This window comes from Homo sapiens, chromosome 16 (assembly GCF_000001405.40).
Source record: "Homo sapiens chromosome 16, GRCh38.p14 Primary Assembly".
In the NCBI taxonomy this organism is placed as follows: domain Eukaryota; kingdom Metazoa; phylum Chordata; class Mammalia; order Primates; family Hominidae; genus Homo; species Homo sapiens.
The window spans coordinates 82,585,497-82,606,836 of record NC_000016.10 but is presented as its reverse complement, the minus strand read 5'-3'; the positions used below and the strand labels follow the sequence as shown (position 1 = coordinate 82,606,836).

General features: G+C 44.1%; 3 annotated features.

Annotated features, from left to right (window-relative positions):
- Positions 1-515: an enhancer, noted in NCBI's record as "OCT4-NANOG-H3K27ac hESC enhancer chr16:82639927-82640441 (GRCh37/hg19 assembly coordinates)". NCBI's record gives its function as "activates a minimal SCP1, AML or CMV promoter by ChIP-STARR-seq in primed H9 embryonic stem cells {active_cell/tissue: H9 hESC(primed)}" and the evidence as "EXISTENCE:reporter gene assay evidence [ECO:0000049][PMID:30033119]".
- Positions 516-1,030: an enhancer, noted in NCBI's record as "OCT4-NANOG-H3K27ac hESC enhancer chr16:82639412-82639926 (GRCh37/hg19 assembly coordinates)". NCBI's record gives its function as "activates a minimal SCP1, AML or CMV promoter by ChIP-STARR-seq in primed H9 embryonic stem cells {active_cell/tissue: H9 hESC(primed)}" and the evidence as "EXISTENCE:reporter gene assay evidence [ECO:0000049][PMID:30033119]".
- Positions 7,595-8,129: an enhancer, noted in NCBI's record as "NANOG hESC enhancer chr16:82632313-82632847 (GRCh37/hg19 assembly coordinates)". NCBI's record gives its function as "activates a minimal SCP1, AML or CMV promoter by ChIP-STARR-seq in naive H9 embryonic stem cells {active_cell/tissue: H9 hESC(naive)}" and the evidence as "EXISTENCE:reporter gene assay evidence [ECO:0000049][PMID:30033119]".

The following is a 21,340-nucleotide window of genomic DNA, read 5'->3' as shown; positions in this document are numbered from 1 at the left end:
CTCTACCCAGAAGGAAACTGAGGCCCAGAAAGCTTCAGTCACATGATCACTGCCTCACAGTATGTTGGTGGCAAAGGCCAAACAAGGAACCCAGGTCCTGGGACTGGAGTCTGCTGCTCTTCCCCCCAAAGAAACTCCTTCATGGGGAGGCGGAGGAGACAGGAGGACCACAGAGAAAGTGCTTTGCCTGTCTTGGTGCAGAAGCTCAGGTGGTGGCACCCCTCGCCTGCTCCCAAGAGCTGAGGGAGATAATGGTTTGCTCTTATCAGTCCTCATTCATCTCCCCATCCCCCTGTGACACTCATTATTGAAAACACAGGCAGCAGGGAAGGGCAGGAGCTGGAATTGGAAGAATGCAGGGGCACCCTTTATAGCCCCTAGCGGCTTTCTTTTCCATTTATAATAAACTCTGTTAAAAGCCTGTGCCCGGGAGTGTAAAAAAGTGAAGTGGAAGGAACAAAGGCAAACATCTATTTTATTTGTGTAAGAAAGGCTCATGGGAGAAGCTGGCTTTAGCGTAACAACGCGCCTCTTGTCCGAGATGTTACAGGAGCGAGAAAATTCAAAAGAGCTTATGGAAAGACGTGGGATAAGTTGGAACCTTGGTAGCTTTAGGGAGCAGAATATGACAGACTCAACCCAGGTGAGGGGCCTAAAAGGGTAGAAAGGGTTTCAGAACTGGGCAGACAGAAGCACGGCCGCCTCACCCCCAGAGGCCCGGTCCAGGGGGAAGAGGGCTAAGGAGAGGTTGCCAGAGGAAGCAACCACCTGAATGTGGCCCTGAATTCATAATCCCCCAGTAAGGTGTGAAGTGGTTTTGTCCTTCCCGCTCCCATGACACGGAGTGGTAACTTCTCACATCTCAACACACAATCGCAGAGTACTCACCAGGTCCAGCAGTATAAAGGACTCTTCTAACAACACAGAGGAAGCAGCAGTAGGAAGATGGAGGAGTCCTCAGTCCCCAGGGCACCCATAGAAGAGGACCTCTGATGCTAAGGTGCCTACTTCTGCTCATTCCACTCCCTCTCTTCATGTCTGCAAAGAAGACCCAGGTCTCAACAGAGTTTCAGTTAGGATGAGTAAGTCAGTGCTTCCCCAAGTGTAATGAACAGCCTGGAAATCAGGGTGAAATGCAGGTTTTACTTTAGCAGGTCCAGAGTGGGGCCTGAGATTCTGAATTCCTAACAAGCTCCTAGGTGAGGCTGATGTTTCTGGTCCACGGACCATACTTTGAGTAGTAAGGCAATCAACTTCTGTTCTCCCTGCTGTAAAACAGATTTGATTAATAATGACTAATGTTTAGTAATGGTTAGTGATTAATATTTTTATAATACTGGTACCAGAAATGGGTCCCAATCTAGACCCCCAAGAGAGGGTTCTTGAATCTCATTCAAGAAAGAATTCGAGGTGAGTCCATACAGTAAAGTGAAAGCAAGTTTATTAGGAAAGTTAAGGAATAAAAGAACGGCTACTCCATACGCAGAGAAGCCCCGAGGGCTGCTGGTTGTCCATTTTTATGGTTCTTTCTTGATGGTATGCTAAACAAAGGGTGGATTATTCAAGCCTCCCCATTTTAGACTATATACGGTAACTTCCTGATGTTGCCATGGCATTCGTAAACTGTCATGGCGCTGGTGGGAGTGTAGCAGTGAAGACAACCAGAGGTCACTCTCGTTGCCATCTTGGTTTTGGTGGGTTTTAGCCACTTTCTTTACTGCATCCTGTTTATCAGCAATGTCTCTATAACCTGTATCTTGTACCAACCTCCTATGTCATCCTGTGACTAAGAATCCCTTAACTTACTGGGAATGCAGCTCAGCAGGTGTCAGCCTTATTTTACCTAGTCCCTATTCAAGATGGAGTTGCTATGGTTCAAACACATCTAACAATACCATCCTCACTCTCTCATCACCAGAAGTAACTAAAACACTGGTCCCAAAACTGAGGGGAAACTGTAAAATACCCTACATAGGTAGTTAATATTCCTGGGGTCCTCAGTGCACTGCCCAAACAGACTTGAAATCCAGAGAAATGTGCTGAAGAGACACAATGGCAGGGGGAAATGGTGGGCCACTGGAACACCTAGATGATGTTTCTCTCCATATACTGGAGGGGCAGATTTGGGAAAGAAATTCAATTCCACAATCCTGTGGAAATCCCTTTCTCCTTTTGCTTTTTTACTATAATTGTAATAGAAACAAAATTAATCATCTGTAGGGATTCACCAACTTTCTCCTTCCCCAACTCAGACAGAGCTTTCAGGTGCCAAAGATGATTGAACAGGGCTGCCCTGGGTGAGACAGGGCTAGGAGGAGTGTGAGACCACAGGCCATGTGAGAGATCCAGACACCAGAAGAAAAGACCGTCAAATTGACCATGGACCCTCAGAACAGAAGCTACCCCTTAACACCAATTCAGAGCATGCTGGCAGCTTCTTACTGCAGAAAACTGCAATAGATATTCTGCCTGATGGCATTCTCAGGCACAGAGAGCTCATTCCTTGGGTGCACAGAGCAGGCCAGAGGAGCCAGAGACTTGATGCCCCCAAAAGTAGCCATCAAACATTGACTGAAACATACGGTGCAGGCAAACTCCAGTTTTCTTGCCCTGCAGGTGAGACCACCAGAAGTGCAGTACTTAGGGCTCCAGGAGCCCCTCAGTTGCCCACAGAAGTAGCTGGTTTATTAACACACCCTCGATAACTTCCTTACCTTCCCTGTCGTATTAATTTCCTGTGGCTGCTGTAACAAATCCTCGTAAATGTGATGGCTTTAAGCAACAGAAATGTATTCCTTTGCAGTACTGGTGGCCAGAAGTCTGAGATCAGGATGTCAGCAGGGCTGTGCTCCCTCTGGAGGCTGGAGAGGAGAATCCTGCCAGCTCTGGCAGCTGTGGGGATTTCTTGATTTGCTTCTACACCACTGCAATCTCTGCCTCTCCCGTCACATGCCCTTCTTTTCTCCTGTGTCTCATCTCCCTTTTCCTCCTTCTTAGAAGGGTAAATGTGATTGTATTTAGGGCTCTCCCAGATAATCCAGATCATCTCCCCAACCTAAGAGCCTAATGTTATTATATCTGCAAAGATTTTGCAATAAAATGTAACACTCATAGGTTGCAGAGATTAGGACAGAGACGTCTTTTGGTGCCATTTTTTAGCCTACCACATCTGCATCACTCTCCTACTTCCCTACTGGAGCTTCCTGGGATTATTTCCCAAACAAATTCTTTGCACTCAAATCCTAGTCTCGGGGTTGGCTTCTGGGGAAACCAAATCAAGACAACCCCCCTCAGTTGCTTAAGAACATGAAGAGAGACTGGAATTGCCACCGTACTAGACTTTGAAAAATACACACTCGCCATGGGATTAGACCACATGGTCCAGGGCTTTCTCAGTGCCACACAATGAAAGAGAGACTCCTCACAGCAGAGGCGGGGTCTGCTGGCTCCCCTGCATGCTCTGGCCCTCCAACCTTCTCAGCATCCGAGCGGTCCTGAGGGTCTCCTCACTGTCTTGGTGTTCAGTCTTCTCTCTTTGCCACCTCCTTCTCCAGCAACCCACTCTCCTGCCTTTCCCATCTTAGACAGGAGGTGCCACCTGCAGATAGGAAGCAAAGGCAAACCAGGATTGAGGTCCAAGGGGCCAGGTGACAGCCCACTTCACTGGGAAAAACACAGCAACCTTACTTTTTTGCCCTTCCCTTGCCCTTCTCTCACTGAGAGAAATAAGGTAGAGAAGCTCAAAGGATCAATCTGGCCTCTCCCTTCTGAAGCCTTAAAGTATGACCCCACAGGGGATATCAACAGGGTTCTCTATTATTTTCCTCCAGAGCCCTCACATTTTCTTGAAAAACATTGTGAACCAAACAAGGCTTGCTTAGGAGGTAAGGCCTGGAAGGGCATCATAAAAGCTGCTGTTCTGCAAAGCACCTTCTCTGCCTGTCACATCCTTGGGGAGTAGTTTTATTTCTAAAGGCCCCATTATACACATAAGGAAACTGAGTCGTGTAGAAATTAGGAAATGAATTCATAGTCTTGCAATTAGGAAGTGAGGGAGCAAACATTCCAAGCAAGTGGTTGCGCTTCTGACCGCTGTTCCACACACTGCCCACATCGCAGGGTCAGCTCTAGGCTCAGGCTGTGGCTGCTCGGGACTGCCCAGGGCTCCAAGCTCAGCTCCACACCCACTACCAATCCCCACGTACTCACCCCAAGTCACCTCCCAGTGCCTCACTGGTTCTCTGAGCTGCCTCTGACTGTTTCCTGGAAATTGACATCAAGGTTGACTGATAGGGACAAGAGCTCAGCCTTGGCCAGAAGGAAAAAGAGGAGGCCTGACTGTAGCAAGGGAGTGTCTCTGACTCTCTTGGAGGGAGTCTGCCAGCAGGCACCTTATTATGCTGTGAGAGTACGCACAGGCCCCCCTCTGGCCCATTCATCGTTGTTCCGCAAAGTCCATTGCTTTGATGCAGTAGCCTTGAAGGTGGTTTTTCCTGCTGCTCCTGGCTTCAGCAATCTAGAAAGCGGGGCAATGGGTAATCAGTCTCACCGTCACTAGGCTGAATGGGAGAAATGCTCCTGTGGACATGGCCTCCCAGTGTGGGTGAGCAAAAGGGCAGGCTGAGGTTTTTAAATGAAAAGGCTGGCTTGTGAAAGCCTGTCTCCAAACAGAGGCAGCGTGAAGATGAATGGTGTAGCTGCCTGGAGCCCAGACAGTGTCCTTCTGCTCAGACTTTGTCAGAATCAGGGATGGGCTAGGGATAGGCTGTGCATGGAGAGCTCAGTCACTCTGGATGGCAAGAGAGTAGGCACTGGTTTCCAGAGATACCCATGAGAGGCTGCCTGGAGAAAGTTCTGCCACAGGTAGGACTAACCATCAACAGGAACCCAGCACAGTCGTTAGCACACAAACTCCAGAGTCCGGTAACCTGGGCTTCATTCCTGACTTCCCTAGTTTTCTAGCTGTATGATTTTGGCCATATTACTTGGCTACTCTGAACCCAAATTTCCTAAACAGTGAAAAAGACAAAATAAACATCACTGGATTTTTGAGGTTCACAAGGTATAATCCACATGCATAAAGCGTGCAGGACATAATAAGTCTTTGATAACTATTAGCTGTCATCAGCCTTATCATGGACAGAATATAGGGCTCACTCATAAGGATACTCTGGTCAGCCTTAAAGACGAGAAAGACATATTTGGGTCCTCAAATCATCACCATGTCCAAGCAAAGGCCCTGGAGGCATGGGAAGGTGAGAGAGTTTTATTATGAGACTAAAAAAATAATTAAGTGCTTTTAATCAGCATAGCACTAACTGCTCGAACAAACCAACCCCCAAATTCCAGTGGCTTAACAAAATATAAGTTATTTTTTACTCGTGTAACCGACCAGGTGTTCCCGGTTGGTAGGCAGCTTGGCTCATCTTTAACCCATGGCCCCAGCCCCACCCTGCTCGTTAGGACAATGAGCTGGTAGAAAGGGAGAGAGTGTTGAGGAGAGAGTGTGGGAGGTATGCATCAGCCAGGCCTGGGAATGGAGCGAATCCCATCAGCCCTCATTCCATTGGTCAGAACTCAGTCACATGACCTCATTGAGCTGCAGGGGAGGCTGGGAAATATCTTAGGGAGCATTTGGAGAAAAAGGAAGTGAGTTTGATGGACACATTTGATGAACAGAAATGTACAATTAGAGTATCACTTCTCAAGAGGCCAGGCCCACTGCTGGAGCCTTGTCATCCAGGTTAGTAAGGGATTCGGTGTGGGCAGGCACTACTGAGCCTCCATATCTTAAAATTTATCAGAGTCATGTGGCCCCTAGTTGATCCTTTCCTTTTTTGACCTCCCTTCGGATTCTGAGCCCATGCACATGGCAGGACAAATGTGGGACATGTCCTCTCCTGAAAGAGTAGCAATTACAGACATGACATCAAAGAGAAGTGAGAGAAGCTGACCTCTGTTTTTCTTGAGGATGAAAAGAAAAAGAGGGACCCAGTGCCGAAAACCAAGCTTTAAGAAACTAGTTGATACAAGAGACCATATTCTTTCATTTGAGTCCATGAGGTGACACATGCCCAGTCTTAGTTGGTTTTCCATTGCTATAAAAGAAGACCACAGACTGCATAATTTGCAAATAATAGAAGTTTATTTGGCTCATGGTTCTGGGTGCTGGGAAGTTCAAGAGCATTGCAGTGGCATCTGGTGAGGGTCATATCATGGCAGAAGGGCCGACGCAAGTATGCAAGACAAGATACGGGAGGAACTTGTATCACTCCTGTGATAACTAAGCCACTCCAAGGTAAGAGCATTAATCCACTGGTGAGGGCAGAACCCTCAAGAGCTAATCACCTCTTAAAATCCCAACCTCTTAATACTGTTACAATGGTAATTAAGTTTCAACGTGAATTTTGGAGGGGACATTCAAACCATTGCAAGTCCACATTATTTTGGGCAAGCTGACCAAACCAGACTCACTGAGATTATACTGACACTGGACTCTCAGTCATCTTGGTAGCTGGGAAAATGTGAGTCAATCCTTGAACAACAGATTATGTTTGCCACATTGTCACAGCTTGAAGCCAGAAGATGGTCATGGTATGGTCTCCCAAGAACAAGGCTTGGGTTTTAATGAACAGTTCACTGATTTTTGGAAAGAGAAAAGATTCAAAACTGTGTCATGTAATCCAGTCACAAGCTATCATCCAATTATCTGATGGTCATTTTAATCAACTTTCAACAGGTCACTATGTGGTCACTGACATCCAGGCATTCACTGAATGATAGGAGAGTCATTCTGGCTCTTTCATGAGAATAGCTATATTTGATGACCAAGTACATGGACATGCAACAGATAGCCTTGTGAATAACAATTTCATTGTTAATATAGTATGTTTTCTCTGAGTTTCAACTGTGAACTATTATACAGACATGGCATTGATCTCAATGTGTTTCAATTTGCACATCTAAAAAACAGAAATTTAATGTTACTCCCCATACAGATTAGCTTATTATTTAATAAATATTCACTCTCTTTCCCTAAACTTTATGGGAGCAGTGCACTTCCCTGTCACGCAATATTAGACTTGACCATGTAACTTGCTTGGGCCATTGGAATCTGGATATAAGTGACAGTACACCACTTCTGATCCTAGGTCCTGAGAAACATTGTGTAATTCCACTCACCCCTGTAAGGGCTTCCAACCTCCACCATAAGAAGGCCTTCCCTCTGCCCTAGATAAATGCTGCCCCTTCACCGTGGCCCCAGTAATGAAAATGTGTAGAACAGAGCCACTGATCCAACACCAGCTACCTCACAGCTGTATAAGCAAGAAATACTTATTGTTATATTCTGCTGAGTTTGGGGATGGCTTGTTATACAGCATTACGGTGGAAAAGGCTAACTGATACATTCTGCATATGGCGAGAATATAGCAGCATGGTCATTTTGTAATAGAAGACAACTTACATAATCAAGGCAATGATCGTGAGTTTCTTAAAAGCCCTAAGGTTGGACCGTGTCTTTGAACATGAGCTCTTCTCTATTGTCAGATCAGTTCTGTGGGTCAGGTACCAAGGAACTTGTTTTCCTTCCAGCAGGCAGTTTTGCATATGGCTCTGTCTTCATTTGCCGGACAAGCAAAGTCAGAACTCAGAGCTAATTCTGTTCTTCATTTGGAAAGTTTATCATTTTATTTTATATCTCCAAAGTCAGGTTGGCCACACAAATCCTGTTTTTGAGAGTGCAAATTTTCTCCTTTCCAAGGAAGGCAGAGATAACGACTCTAGCACAGATGGAGGAGATTTCTTCAGGGAAGGAAAGCAGCATTTAGGTTGGTTAATGCCTTCCCTGGTGAGCCATTGTATTCTTGTTTGGGGTTTCCCCGCCCTCAATTTGGAAACAGCAAGGCTCTTCATTGGAGATTTATGACATGGAAACAGTCAACAAGAGCACATGAATCAATCTGGGAAGCCATCTTGCCCTCCACATAGTACACTTCCTTCTGCTTCCCCCAAGTATTAACCCTTTTCTTGCAATCATTATTTATCTGATGAACCATATTAAAGCAGTTTCATGGGTATATTTAGACAAAGGTTATCACAGTACACGGGTTAATATGATTGCTGCCTTGCTCAAATATGTGGTTTTATTTATGATCTATTTTACAAAACATCATATATTTCTATTATGAATATGTGCTAGGGAATATCACCTTGGGTCCAGTCATATTCTACATTGCAGAGGGAAGTGGGTAACTCTGAAATCTCCTTAGTTGTTTATTCTTCACACCAATATTCTAGAACTCTTCTCTAGCCTGGGTTCCAAACAAGGAGTATTGTTAATGTTGGGAAGATCTACGTGGAATGCTGCCACTTCCCCTCTCCAGCCTGTGCTCTCCCCAATCCACATACCTTTCCTAGGTGATTTCATCAATTTCCATGGCTCGCTTATAGTTCGACCTCCAGCCAGAACACACCCCTGAGCTCCAAATTCACAAAAAACAACAGGATACTTGACATCTCCATTTTGATCACTTATAGACATTTCAAACATACTATATCCAAATGGAATTCTTAATCCACTCTCTCCACCCACATACAAACACCACATCTCCAAATATGATTTTCTTCCAAACTTCCCTACTTTCAGTAAATGACATTTTTATCCTTTAAGGCGATTAAGTCAAGAGTCTGGAGTCATCCATGCCCCTCTGAGCCCTGATAACTAATGTCTTACATACTGAGTCCTATGGAGTCTATTTTCAAAACACATGTAGAGTTCATTCACTTTTCTCCACCATCACCACTCCAGCCAAGCACCATTAACTCTTCAATGGGCTTTTACAAACTCTTCTACTTGGTCTTCCTCTTCTTATTCTCCCCATAGTCACCCAGTTATGTGTGTGTTTTTTTAATGTGAGTCGGTCTCTATCATAATTATCTTCAAAACTTTCCAGTGACTTCCTCTTGTAAAAAAAAAAAAAGTCACAGATTTAGTGGCTTAAATCAACAAAAGCTGATTATTTTACAGCTCTGGAGGTCAGAAGTTTGACATGCATCTTCTGAGCTAAAACCAAGGTATCAGGAGGTCTGGCTCCTTCCTGGGAGCTCCAGTTGGGGGATCAGTTCCTTTCCTTTCCCACCTTCTGGAGGCTGCCTGCATTCTTTGGCTCATGGCCCCATATCACTCCAACCTCCGCTTCTGTTGTCCTATCTTCTCCCTCACTCTGACTCTCCCACCTCTCCCTTATAAGGAAATTTCCCACGACATAGGGATCACCCTATGCCTAAGGACGTTTCAAGATCCTTAACTCAATCACATCTTCAAAGTCCCTTTTGCCGTATAACATATTCACAGGTTTTGGGGATTAGGATATGGGGACCTAAATGGGGACCATTATTTCATCTATCACATTTCCTATCTCACTTAGGACAAAATTAAGTTGTTTTCTTGGCCTATAAGACCCAACATAATCAGAGACCTTCTACCTCTCAAATTGCATGCCCTGGACTCGCTCCCTTATCCAGTCAAACTCCAACTGGTTTTCTCACCATGCCTCAAACATGTCAGTCCTGCTCTATCTGCTGTAGCTAGGAAGCTCTCCCAAAATACTCACACTTCCTCATGTAATCCAGGTCTCTGCTTAAATGCAACTTATGGAAAGGGCTTCCCTGACCAACTGTCTAATATAGAATCCCCAACCATACATGCACAAACACACACACACTCACATACATATACACACGCATGTGCACACATACCCCACAAATACCCCATATATGAACATACACACCACACAAACACATACCCCATCATTGTCCTCACCTAATCTTATTTTTCTTCTTTGCAGCTCATATAGTATTTATTTGTTTGATTCTTTATTTATTATTAAGTTCTTTCTTCCATGTGTAAGCTCCGTGAGAGCAGGGACTTTGCTTTTGTTCACTGCTCTTCATACAGCCCCTCAACAGTGCCTGGTGCACAGGAAGCCTTCAGTACACATGTAGTGAAAAAAAAAATGAAAGAATAATAGAATTTTATAGGTGCAGTGGGTTATATACAAGGGGTTTAGCTAACTATAATTGTTTAGAGTAAGATTTAATAGAGAAGGGAAAAGCTAGGCAAAATTTTGAGGGATAAATAGACATCCAGCAAGTGAACAAAACACTTATCAACCCTCCCAGGGTTGATACTCCCTCGGTGAAAGGAGAACATTGAATTTGTGGACCAAGAAGCCTGAAAACTCTTTTACCTCAAGGAAAGGAACCAAAGGGCTTCTTCTCTTGGGCCACATCTCTTGCTCAGATGTTCATTGGTTAATAACTGTTTTTTTTCAGTTCACCCAGGGCTGCATGCCAGTGCCAACCAAGGCAGGCAAATGAACTCAAGTGTAATTGGGGAAAAATATCCATACTGAGTGAGGCGCCAGGGCCTTTCTGGTGGGAGATTTTGAGAAATGGTAAAATGGAGTTTAGCTAGGCTGCATCTTGGGAATGCAGAATCTGTCATTTTCCACTGAATCACATACTGTTTAAGTCCCTATAATGTGCCACATATCCAGAGTGCAATTTTGGCCATTCCCCTGAGGTGCCTATGGTCTAGTGACCCTCTTCATGCTAGTTCTCTGCCCAGGGTGAGGGTCACGGGAGTTAAGATCTCATTCCTCCTGGAAAGGGAGGGCAAGCTCAGCCAGCTGGACTTCAGTTCGAAGTTAGACAAGGTAACTGAATATGGTAACGGGACAGTCTACAGAATGGGGGATTGTGTCTATATTGATTACATTAAAGATCCTACTTTTCCATGCCTTCCTGATTTTTTGGTAGTGTCCTCACACTGATTCTTGTGGCGTGCCTTGGCCAACTGGATCAGAGATTCGATAAAGTACCTGAGCAATCTGTTTCTCTCTTGGACCTGGTGCCACAGCTGTGAGACCATGCCCAGGTTTGCCTATAGGAGGAGGTAAGAAATACATGAGGGAAAGCTAATGTGTCCCAATAAAGATCATCCATCCTTAAACAACTGCCCCAAGCAGTTCTGCTAACTGACCACAGATATATTAATGTACCCAGCCCAGATCATCGGAGCCTCAACCAGATCAACGGAACTATCCGGTTGTCAGTTACTCATGAGAAATGGTAAACAGTTGTTGCTTAAGCCACTAAATTTGGGAGTGGTTTGCTATACAGCAATAGCCACCTGATACAGGGTAAAGACAGACAGATTGTCCTGTGAAGGGGCCAACACAGAGAAGTATGGTTTGGTTAATTATAACTGTTTAAAGTAAGACTTAATAAAGAAGGGAAAAGCTAGGCAAAATTGTGAGGGATAAATAGACATTGAGCAAGTGAACAAAACACTTATCAATCCTCCCCATGGTTGATACTCCCTCCATGAAAGAAAAACATTGAATTTGCGAACCAAGAAGGCTGAAAACCCTTTCACCTCAAGGCAAATAACCAAAGAGCTTCCGCTCATGGCCCATGTCTCTTGCTCAGATATGCTTGCTGGTTAATCACTTTTTTTCAGTTCATCCAGGGCCACTTGTCAGTGTCAACCAAGGCAGGCAAATGAACTCTGGTGCAATTGGGGAACAATACACCAGAGTTCATTTGCCACTGTGTCCCACGGCTAGGTTGCTGACTGCTGGCCCACTGGACAGAGTTCCCTGGCCACAGGTTCACATCTAAGACCTTCAAAAGGCAGGATGTGCCACTTGCCTGAGGGTGGTTGGCTTAGTTGTTGTGGTAGTTCTGCCCCCACTGTTCGGACTGGTCAGCCATATTATTTTAGGCATCTAGAAAAACAAGTCTGGGCTGATGCTGGCGGCCTGTGAGAGGCTCAGGAAAAGAGAACAGAACAAAAAGAAGTTCTCTCTCTACCCATAAGGAAGGATGCTCCTTAGAAATCAATGGCAGGGTGTGATGCTTAAGTCACCCTCCCCTGAAGACTCAGCTGCTACCCAGACATGACCTTGAAGAAGCAACATCTACAGCAAAACAAGCACAATTTCAGCGATTCCCACGACAGTTTTACCAATGTTTGATGGACACAGATAGATATTCCTCAGACAGCAGAGATTTCTCTCTCAGACTCGCCCTCTCCTTGGAAGAGAATCAGCTGGACAGAATTTTTTTTTCCCAAATGTAAAACATCGTTTCCCAACAAAAGAAGTGAGATGTTTTCTACAGCTGCTCCACATCCATTATGCGTTTGCAGAAGCATTGTTTGTGAGGTTTTTATGATGCAAAAAAATAATTAAGATGAGAGGCACTTCTTGTCTCTGAATCTTTTTTGTTTAAACATGTTTTGCAAATGGCCAATATCTCCTGTTACTTAGGTTACCTTCCAGAAAATGTTAGCACTTGATTATAAAATCAGCAGCTAATGTGCTTAATGACATTCCATTATACCCAACAATAGCTGCAGTGTGTTTTAAAAATTCATTTGCATTCATACTTCTTCAACCTATCCATCAAAACATTTAGACAACCGTGCTCTAACCGTTTACTAATAATTGCCCTGGTTAACCTGGGGGCCTTCCGTGTGGTGTACCCAGAGAGGGAAGAAAGTGCTTTCTGGAGGGAAGAGCAGGACTTGGCTCACAACCCAGCTTTGTCTTTCAAGAGCCCAGAGCCTATGTGTTTAATATTTAATAGGATGCTGGGCTCCCCACGAGCTAGTGAACCTCATGTCTCAATGGGGAAGGTCACAGGGAAAAGGGCCAGGATTGGTGCTGAGGGGAGCCCAGTAAAGAGGAATGGAAGATCTGGATGTTGACGGGTGCCTGGGGGCAGAAAACAGAGGAATGAATTCTATTTCCCCAAAATTCACATGCTGATGTCCTCACCACCAGTACCTCAGAGTGTGGCTGCATTTGGAAATAGGGGCAGGAGAGAGGTAATCAACAAAAAATTAAGTCATATGTGCAAGTCCAAATTTAGTATGACTGTAGTATGACTGCTGCCTCTCCTTATAAGAAGAGGAAATTTGGACACAGACATCTACAGAGGAAGAGCACACGATGACATGAGGAGCAGTGGCCAGCTATCTGCAGGCTAAAGACAGAGGCCTAAGAAGAAATCAACCCTACCAACACTTTGATCTTGGACTCCTGGCCTCCAGAACCATGAGAACATAAATTTCTGTTGTTTAAGCCACCCAGTACTTTGTTATGGTAGCCCTAGCAAACGAACACAGGCAGACTCTTATAACACCCACATCACAGTCCAGACGCTGAGTGGTTTCTGATGGTTTTCAATACCTGTATTCACCAGTGTGTTTCCTTTATAAGCTTCGCTACCCATTTCCATAAAACAAGCTACATGCAATGGGGATTCAAGCTCTCCTTAGAACCACTAGCCCCATCCCATCCCTCACATCACAGTCCGTCCTGTCTTCCGTGCCCCTGGCTCCTCCCAGGACTGGCCACTTATGTCCTCTCCTGCCTTGTCTTCCAGACCTGTTGCTCTGTACTCAGCTAGTTTGTGGCTGTACCTTTCCTCTCTTGCCATAATTCCATAATCGCTTTTTGGGCTTTCCTTCCTCACACCATATGTCCTGTTTGTTCCAAACTTGGCCTTTCCCATTCCAGGGCAGGCCCATCAGCAACGTTGCAGACACTCAAGCACAAGCAAAGTAAGTTTTGTTCTAGCACAGGGCTTCTCAAACTTTAATGTGCATGAGACACCTGGGGATTGTGTTAATCTTGTCAAAATGCCAATTATGATTCAAGGAGGCCTGACTGCAGCCTGGGATTCTGCATTTCCAAAAAGGTTGTAGGTGTCTCTGAGGCTGCAGGTATAAGGATCACCTTTGAATACCTCTAGCTTATGGCTTCCCAACCTTAGCACTATTGGCCTTTGGGGCCAGATAATTCTCTGTGTTAGGGGCTGTCCTGAGTATCGTAGGATGTTTAGCAGCATTCCTGCCCTCAACCCACTGGATGCCAGTAGCACCTCCAGTTGTGACAACCAAAAATGTCTCCAAGTATTGCCAAATATCTCCAAGCGGGAGGTAAGGGGGAAATGGCTTCTCAAACCTCTATGCATAATTTCTAGTGTTACTTCCTGAAGTCTTCTGACCATAGTGTCTATTGAAAAGGAAAACCAACAAAGAAAGCATCCATGATGTACCAGGTAACTGAGGAGGTAGCTTGCTGCAGAAAATGACCACTCCAGGGACTTCAGTGTCCCAGACCCATGATGGCTACGAGGAGCAACTACTTGATTTGTGGGCCCCAGTGCAAAATGAAACTGTGGGGCTTCTTATTCATAAATTATTAAGAAATTCAGGATAGCAACAGCAGAGCATTAAACCAAACGCTGTGTGACTATATAGGTCACACATATATAGGTGGCACATTCATAAAACTGGCCCTGCTGGCCATCCTGAAGGCCAACGGAGGGATTCATACTCATCACCTCCGCTGGGTGGGATGATCTCCCACAAAGCAATCTCTCTCCCAGTAGTGTTAAGATCACCAGTAGCCTGGTGCAAGTTTGATGAGCTGAACATTAGAAGAGCAGCTGTTTTAAACCTATTCTGTTTTGTTCAATTTGTGGTTCAATATATTTCCCACCAAGAAGGTGGAGGACTTGACTCCTTTGTAAAAGCCCCAATTGGTAGGAAAGGGCCAAAGAAGGCTATAAAGATGCTGAAAATGCTCACTCTTAGCAAAGCTATTTGATACAATGACAGAGGGGCCAGTGTGGGTGAACTGAGAATTGAATTCATTGACATATTGTGGTAAAAGTTTCCCAAGTCAATTTCTCCTGAATAAGAGGAGACTTTCCATGTATTCTCATTGTTTAGCTTCCACTTATATGTGAGAACATGCAGTATTTGTTTTCTGCACATGTACCCATGAGCCTTAAATTAAAGAAAAAAAAGAGAAGGAGACTGTCGTGGAGAACTCAGGCTACCAGCATAAGTAGAAAGCCTTCATTATCTCTTCTCACTTTGCTTTAACCAAGATGTATGGAAATCAGAGCCAGGATTTAGACTAAGGGGCAGCCAAAGAAGGACGCAGAAAAGCCAGGTGCAAATATTTTCTCCCATTCTACAGGTTGTCTGTTTAGTCTGCTGATAGATTCTTTTGCTGTGCAGAAGCTCTTTGGTTTAATTAGATCCCATTGGTTGATTTTTGCATTTGTTGCAACTGGTTTTGGCATCTTCGTCATGAAATCTTTGCTAGATCCTATGTCCAAAATGGTATTGCCAGATTGTCTTCCAGGGATTTTATAGTTTTGGGTTTACATTTAAGTCTTTAATACATTCTGAGTTGGTTTTCGTATACAGTGTAAGGAAGAAGTCTAGTTTCAATCTTTTGCATATGGCTAGCCAGTTATCCCAGCACCATTTATTGAATAGGGAGTTCTTTCCCCATTACTTGTTTTTGTCAACTTTGTCAAAGATTAGATGGCTGTAAGTGTGCAGACTTGTTTTTAGGCTCTCTACTCTGTTCTGCTGGTCTATGTGTCTGTTTCTCTACCAGTACCATGCTGTTTTGAAAACTATGCCTCTGACAAAGGTCTAATATCCAGCGTCCATAAGAAACTTCAATTGATTTATAAGAAAAAAAGGGCCGGGCTTGGTGGCCTACACCTGTAATCCCAGCACTTTGGGAGGCCAAGGCGGGTGGATCACGAGGTCAGGAGATCGAGGCCATCCTGGCTAACACGGCGAAACCCGTCTCTACTAAAAATACAAAAAATTAGCCAGGCGTGTTGGCGAGTGCCTGTAGACCCAGCTACGCAAGAGGCTGAGGCGGGAGAATGCCATGAACCCGGGAGGCAGAGCTTGCAGTGAGCCGAGATTGCACCACTGCACTCCAGCCTGGGCGACAGAGCGAGACTCTGTCTCAAACAAGAGAGAGAGAAAGAAAGAGAGAGAGAGAGAGAGAGAGAGAGAGAGAGAGAAAGAAAGAAAGAAAGAAAGAAAGAAAGAAAGAAAGAAAGAAAGAAAGAAAGAAAGAAAGGAAAGAAAGAAAGAACCCCACTAAAAAGCAGACGAAGGACACAGATAGGTACTTTTCAAAAGAAGACATACACACGGCCGACAAGCATATGAAAAAAAGCTCAGTACCGTTGATCATTAGAGAAACGTAAATCCAATCCACAAGGAGATACCATCTCACACTAGTTAGAATGACTATTACTAAAAAGCGAAAAAATAACATGAGGCCAGGCATAGTGGCTCACGCCTATAATCCCAGCACTTTGGGAGGCTGAGGCAGGTGGATCACTTGAGGTCAGGAGTTCAAGACCAGCCTGGCCAACAGGGTGAAACCCTGTTTCTACTAAAAATGCAAAAATCAGCAGGGTGTGGTGGCATGTGCATGTAATCCCAGCTACCTGGGAGGCTAAGCCAGGAGAATTGCTTGAACATGGGAGGTGGAGGTTGCAGTGAGCCGAGATCACACCACTGCAGTCCATCCTGGGTGACACAGTGAGACTCAGTCTCAAATAAATAAATAACAAATGCTAGAGAGGTCATGGAGAAAAGGGAACACCTATTTACTGTTGGTCGGAATGTAAATTTGTTCAGCCATTGTGGAAAACGGTGTGGCAGTTCCTCAAAGAGCTGAAAGCAGAACTACCATCTGACCTAGCAATCTCAGTACTGGGTATATACCCAAAGGAACATAAATCATTCTGTCATAAAGACACATGCACATGTATGTTCATTGTAGCACCATTCACAATAGCAAAGACATGAAATCAACCTAAATGCCCGTCAATGGTAGACTAGATAAAGAAAAGTGGTACATACACCATGGAATATACACCATGGAATATACACCACGGAATACTATGCAGCCGTAAAAAGAATGAGATCATGTCCTTTGCAGGATGGATCTGGAGACCATTATCCTTAGCAAACTAACACAGGAACAAAAATCCAAACACTGCAGGTTCTCACTTATAAGTGGGAGCCAAATGATGAAAACACCTGGACACAAAGAGGGGAACAACACACCAACACACACTAGGGACTACCTGAGGTGGAAGGTGGAAGGAGAAAGAGAAACAGAAAATATAATGAATGAGTAGTAGGCTTAGTATCTGGGTGACAAAATAATCTGTGCAAGCAACCCCCCGTGACACTAGTTTCCTTATGTAACAAACCCGCACGTGCACCCCTGAACCTAAAAAAGACAAAAAGAAAAATCAGATGCCCTAGAAGAGCTGGTAAGCAAAAGAGAGCTGGATCATCATCACTCACAAGGCGCCTGCTGCCTCCTGGCACAAGCCAGAGCAAACCATCAGCGGCGGGATTCATAAATAAGCTCCAGTGAAGCCCCAGTGAAGGCTGGATGAAAGAAAATTACAAGTGGGTTATGAACGGGGGGAAAATAACTACAGCTCTAAATAGGGATAGGAAACAGCTGAATTTAGAGCAAAGGTAAACAGCCTAATCTCGATAGTCTCGTCTTTCTAATTTGGACTAGAATGCCATTTTCTTCTTTCTTTCTTTTTTGTTTTTTGAGACGAAGTCTCGCTCTGCTGCCCAGGCTGGAGTGCAGTGGCACGGTCTCAGCTCAGTGCAAGCTCCACCTCCTGGGTTCAAGCCATTCTCCTGCCTCAGCCTCCAGAGTAGCTGGGACTACAGGTGCCCACCACCATGCCCGGCTAATTTTTTGTACTTTTAGTAGAGACGGGATTTCACCGTGTTAGCCAGGATGGTCTCGATCTTCTGACCTCGTGATCCGCCCGCCTCGGCCTCCCAAAGTGCTGGGATTACAGGCATGAGCCACCGTGCCCAGCCCCTTCTTTCATTCTTACAGTAAACGTGTAAGTTTCATAGGGCTGCTACAGCAGTAACCCAAAACTGGGTGGCTTAAAACAATAGAGATTTATTCTCTTACAGTTCTGGAGCCCTGAAGTCTGAAATCAAGACGTCAGCAGGGCTCTGTTCACTCTGGAGGCTCTAAAAGGGAATCCATTCTTGCCTCTTCCAGCTTCCGCTGGCTCCAAGCGTTCCTTAGCTCGTGGCAGTGTCACGCCAAGCTCAGCCTCCATCCACACATGCCATTGTATTCTGTATCTTCTGTCTTTTATAAGGACATTTGTCACGGGATTTAGGATCTACCAGAGTAATCTAGGGTAATCTCATTTTGAGACCTTTAATTTAATTGCATCTGCTAAAGCCTTGTTCTAAATAAGATACCATTCTCATGGTTCAGATACTGATATGCATCTATCTTTTGGGGGCCCACAATGTAACTCATTACAGTACACAAAAATTAATAGCCTGATTTTTTGGAAAAATCCTTAATTTTAAGGAAAATATCTAGAAAGCCAGATTATGTGCTATGTTGAGGAAGACCCAATTCTCCTGCTTGCATGTTTCCATGAAGGGATTTCTATCCCATTCCCTAGAAGAGAGCAGGACTGGGTGCTTCTGGTCCTCTGCGTACCCCCTTACCCACTCATTCTGATGGGAGGGTCACAGGCTAATCTGTTTGGGAAGAGTAGGGAAGGTTCAACATCCCCTGGGCTGCTGACCAAGAATGGGTGAGCATTCAGAGTAACACCATTCCTCCCCCGGATGATGGCTCCCTGGGTAGCTGGAGACCCTCTGCTGTCTGGGAACTTGCTTGGACTAACTCCTGAAAACCAAGTTGCTGAAGATAGGTTCAAAGTCTAGATTTAAGGGTTACCTGTAAAAACACTCGCTTTGACCTCAGGCCTAAGCTGTGTTCTCCAGCACAGCTAATAGGAGACCCTAAATATGAAAGGATTGGACACTGTCCTTGCTCATTAATATAATACATCTGATGTTTCACTTGACAGTCCCCTGGTTCTTCAAGTCTGTGTTCAACTGGATAAGAGTTTAGAGGGGAGAAGAGGGAGGAGTAGAACTCTTAAATCTCCAAAATGCCACTTTTCTCTTCTTTTCTTTTCTTTTGAGACGGAGTCTCACTGTGTGGCCCAGGCTAGTGCCATGGCACAATCACAGCTCACTGCAACCTCTGCCTCCCAGATTCAAGTGATTCTTGGGCCTCAGCCTCCCAAGTAGCTGGGATTACAGGCATGTGCCACCATGCCCAGTTATTTCTTTGGTATTTTTAGTAGAGATGGTGTTTTGCCATGTTGGCCAGGCTGGTCTTGAGCTCCTTACCTCAAGTGATCTGCCTGCCTTGGCCTTCCAGAGTGCTGGGATCACAGGCATGAGCTACAGTGCCCGGCCCAAAATGTCATTTTCATATTTTCTCCGATTTATGCATCCTTAAGCATTGCTCTCATAGCCAAGGCAGGGCCACTACTGCTTACGGGCTCTTAGCCATGAAAACTGAAGTTGTGTTATCTAGAAAAGATAGTCAACATTGATAGGTGTGGCCTTGCCAACTAAGACGGAGAAAGCGATAACACATACTATCGTAAAATCCAAAAGGTGAATTGCATAATAAAAGTTCCGGACTTGACAGCAAAATGTCAACATAAAATCTTAAATATTTACTCAGCCATATGTTGACTGTAAAATATCAAGCATTCCCTAGAATGAAAGACTAAAGAATTACCCTCATAATACTGAAAAACAAGAAACCACCTAAATGTCTGTCAATAACAGATGGTTAAATGAATCTGGCACCTCCATCCTCTGGGGTAGCATACAGCCACCAAGAAAAATAAGCCACGTTATGTAAAAAGAGAAGTTGTAGAACAATATGTAGCATAAGACCCTATTTTTGATAGAAAAAAGAAACCATATGTTTCTATATGTTCCTATAAATGAAATGGTAAGCAAAAAGCTACAGATATTCACACTGAGCTGATAGCAGTGAATACCTCTGGGAAGAGCAGATGGCTAGGTGGGAGCAGGGCATGAATGAAAGGAGAGTTTCACATTTGGGGAATTATTTAGATGTTTGATGATTAGAATGTATTCTCTTACTTCTTGAACAATTTAAATAACCATATCAATTAATTATTTTATTTCTTAAAAAGGGCAAGAGGCAGCAATAAATCTTTCCAGAGGCTGTATGAGTCAGGGTTCTCTAGAGGGACAGAACTAACAGGATAAATGTATACATAAAGGGGAGTTTATTAAGGTGTATTGCCTCACACGATCTCAAGGTGAGGTCCTACAATAGGCCGTCTGCAAACTGAGGAACAAAGAAGCCAGTCTGAGTCCCAAAGCTAAAGAACTTGGAGTCCAACGTTTGAGGGTAGCAAGCATCCAGCACAGGAGAAAGATGTAGGTCAGAAGACTAAGCCAACCTAGTCTTTACACGTTCTTCTGCCTGCTTTTATTCTGGCCTCACGGGCGGCTGATTAGATGGTGCCCACCCAGACTGAGAGTGGGTCTGCCTTTCCCAGTCCACTGACTCAAATGTTAATCTCCTTTGCCAATACCCTTACAGACACACCCAGGAACAAGACTTTGCATCCTTCAATCCAATCAAGTTGACACTCAAAATTAAACATCACAGAAGCTGTGTACAAGGATAGTTAGGTTTTATCTAAATAATAGATACTTTATATTTAATAATGATTTATTATTAAAGTAATTATTAAATTAACATATTAAATTATTATTATATGTTATATATTAAATTATTGTATATATTATATATAATAAATTAAATTATTATTATATAAGTTAAATTATTAAATTATTATTAAATTAACCCAAACTATATATCTATATAAGCAAATACATATATGCATATATATGGAATTTTATATATATAGTAAGAATTTATTGACAACCATCTAATTTCAATTTACAGATTACATGGAGCAACTCATGATTCTTTTTCAGAACGTTTTTTTTTTCTTTTTTTCTTTTTCTTTTCTGCTTCCAAATAAACCCAAGTTGCATTTAACAAAAGAGCAATTTCCTACTACCCCTCCATCCTGGCTTTCCAAGGCACGCCCCTGGATGCCGGTTGAAGTGAATCAGCTCTGTACCCTGGGAGGTCCCAGCAGCCAGACCCCCTTCATGCAATTGGTGTAGGTGGAGAAAGCTCTAGTCATGACTGTGGAATTGAAAGAGAAGGCCACATGACGTGGTAGAATCAGCAAGGATGTGGGAGTCAGATCAACGTAATTTAGGATTCGCACTCTGCCAACTTGTAATTAAATGACCTGGCAGAATAATTCAATCTCACCTATACATTGAGGGATAAAAATAAATACTTCAGAGGGTTAGCATGAAGATTCAAGGACATATAGCAAACATCCAGCTAGACCTGGGCCTGGCAAGAAGTCGGACTGCAAACGTTGTCCCTTGCTATCCACCACCTTTGGAGGATGGGGAAGTCTGTCTTGGTCTTTCATGAGTGAGAAGCTCTGTGCTTTGGGTTAATAAAAGGTGGCATAGAGTAGTAGGGATGGT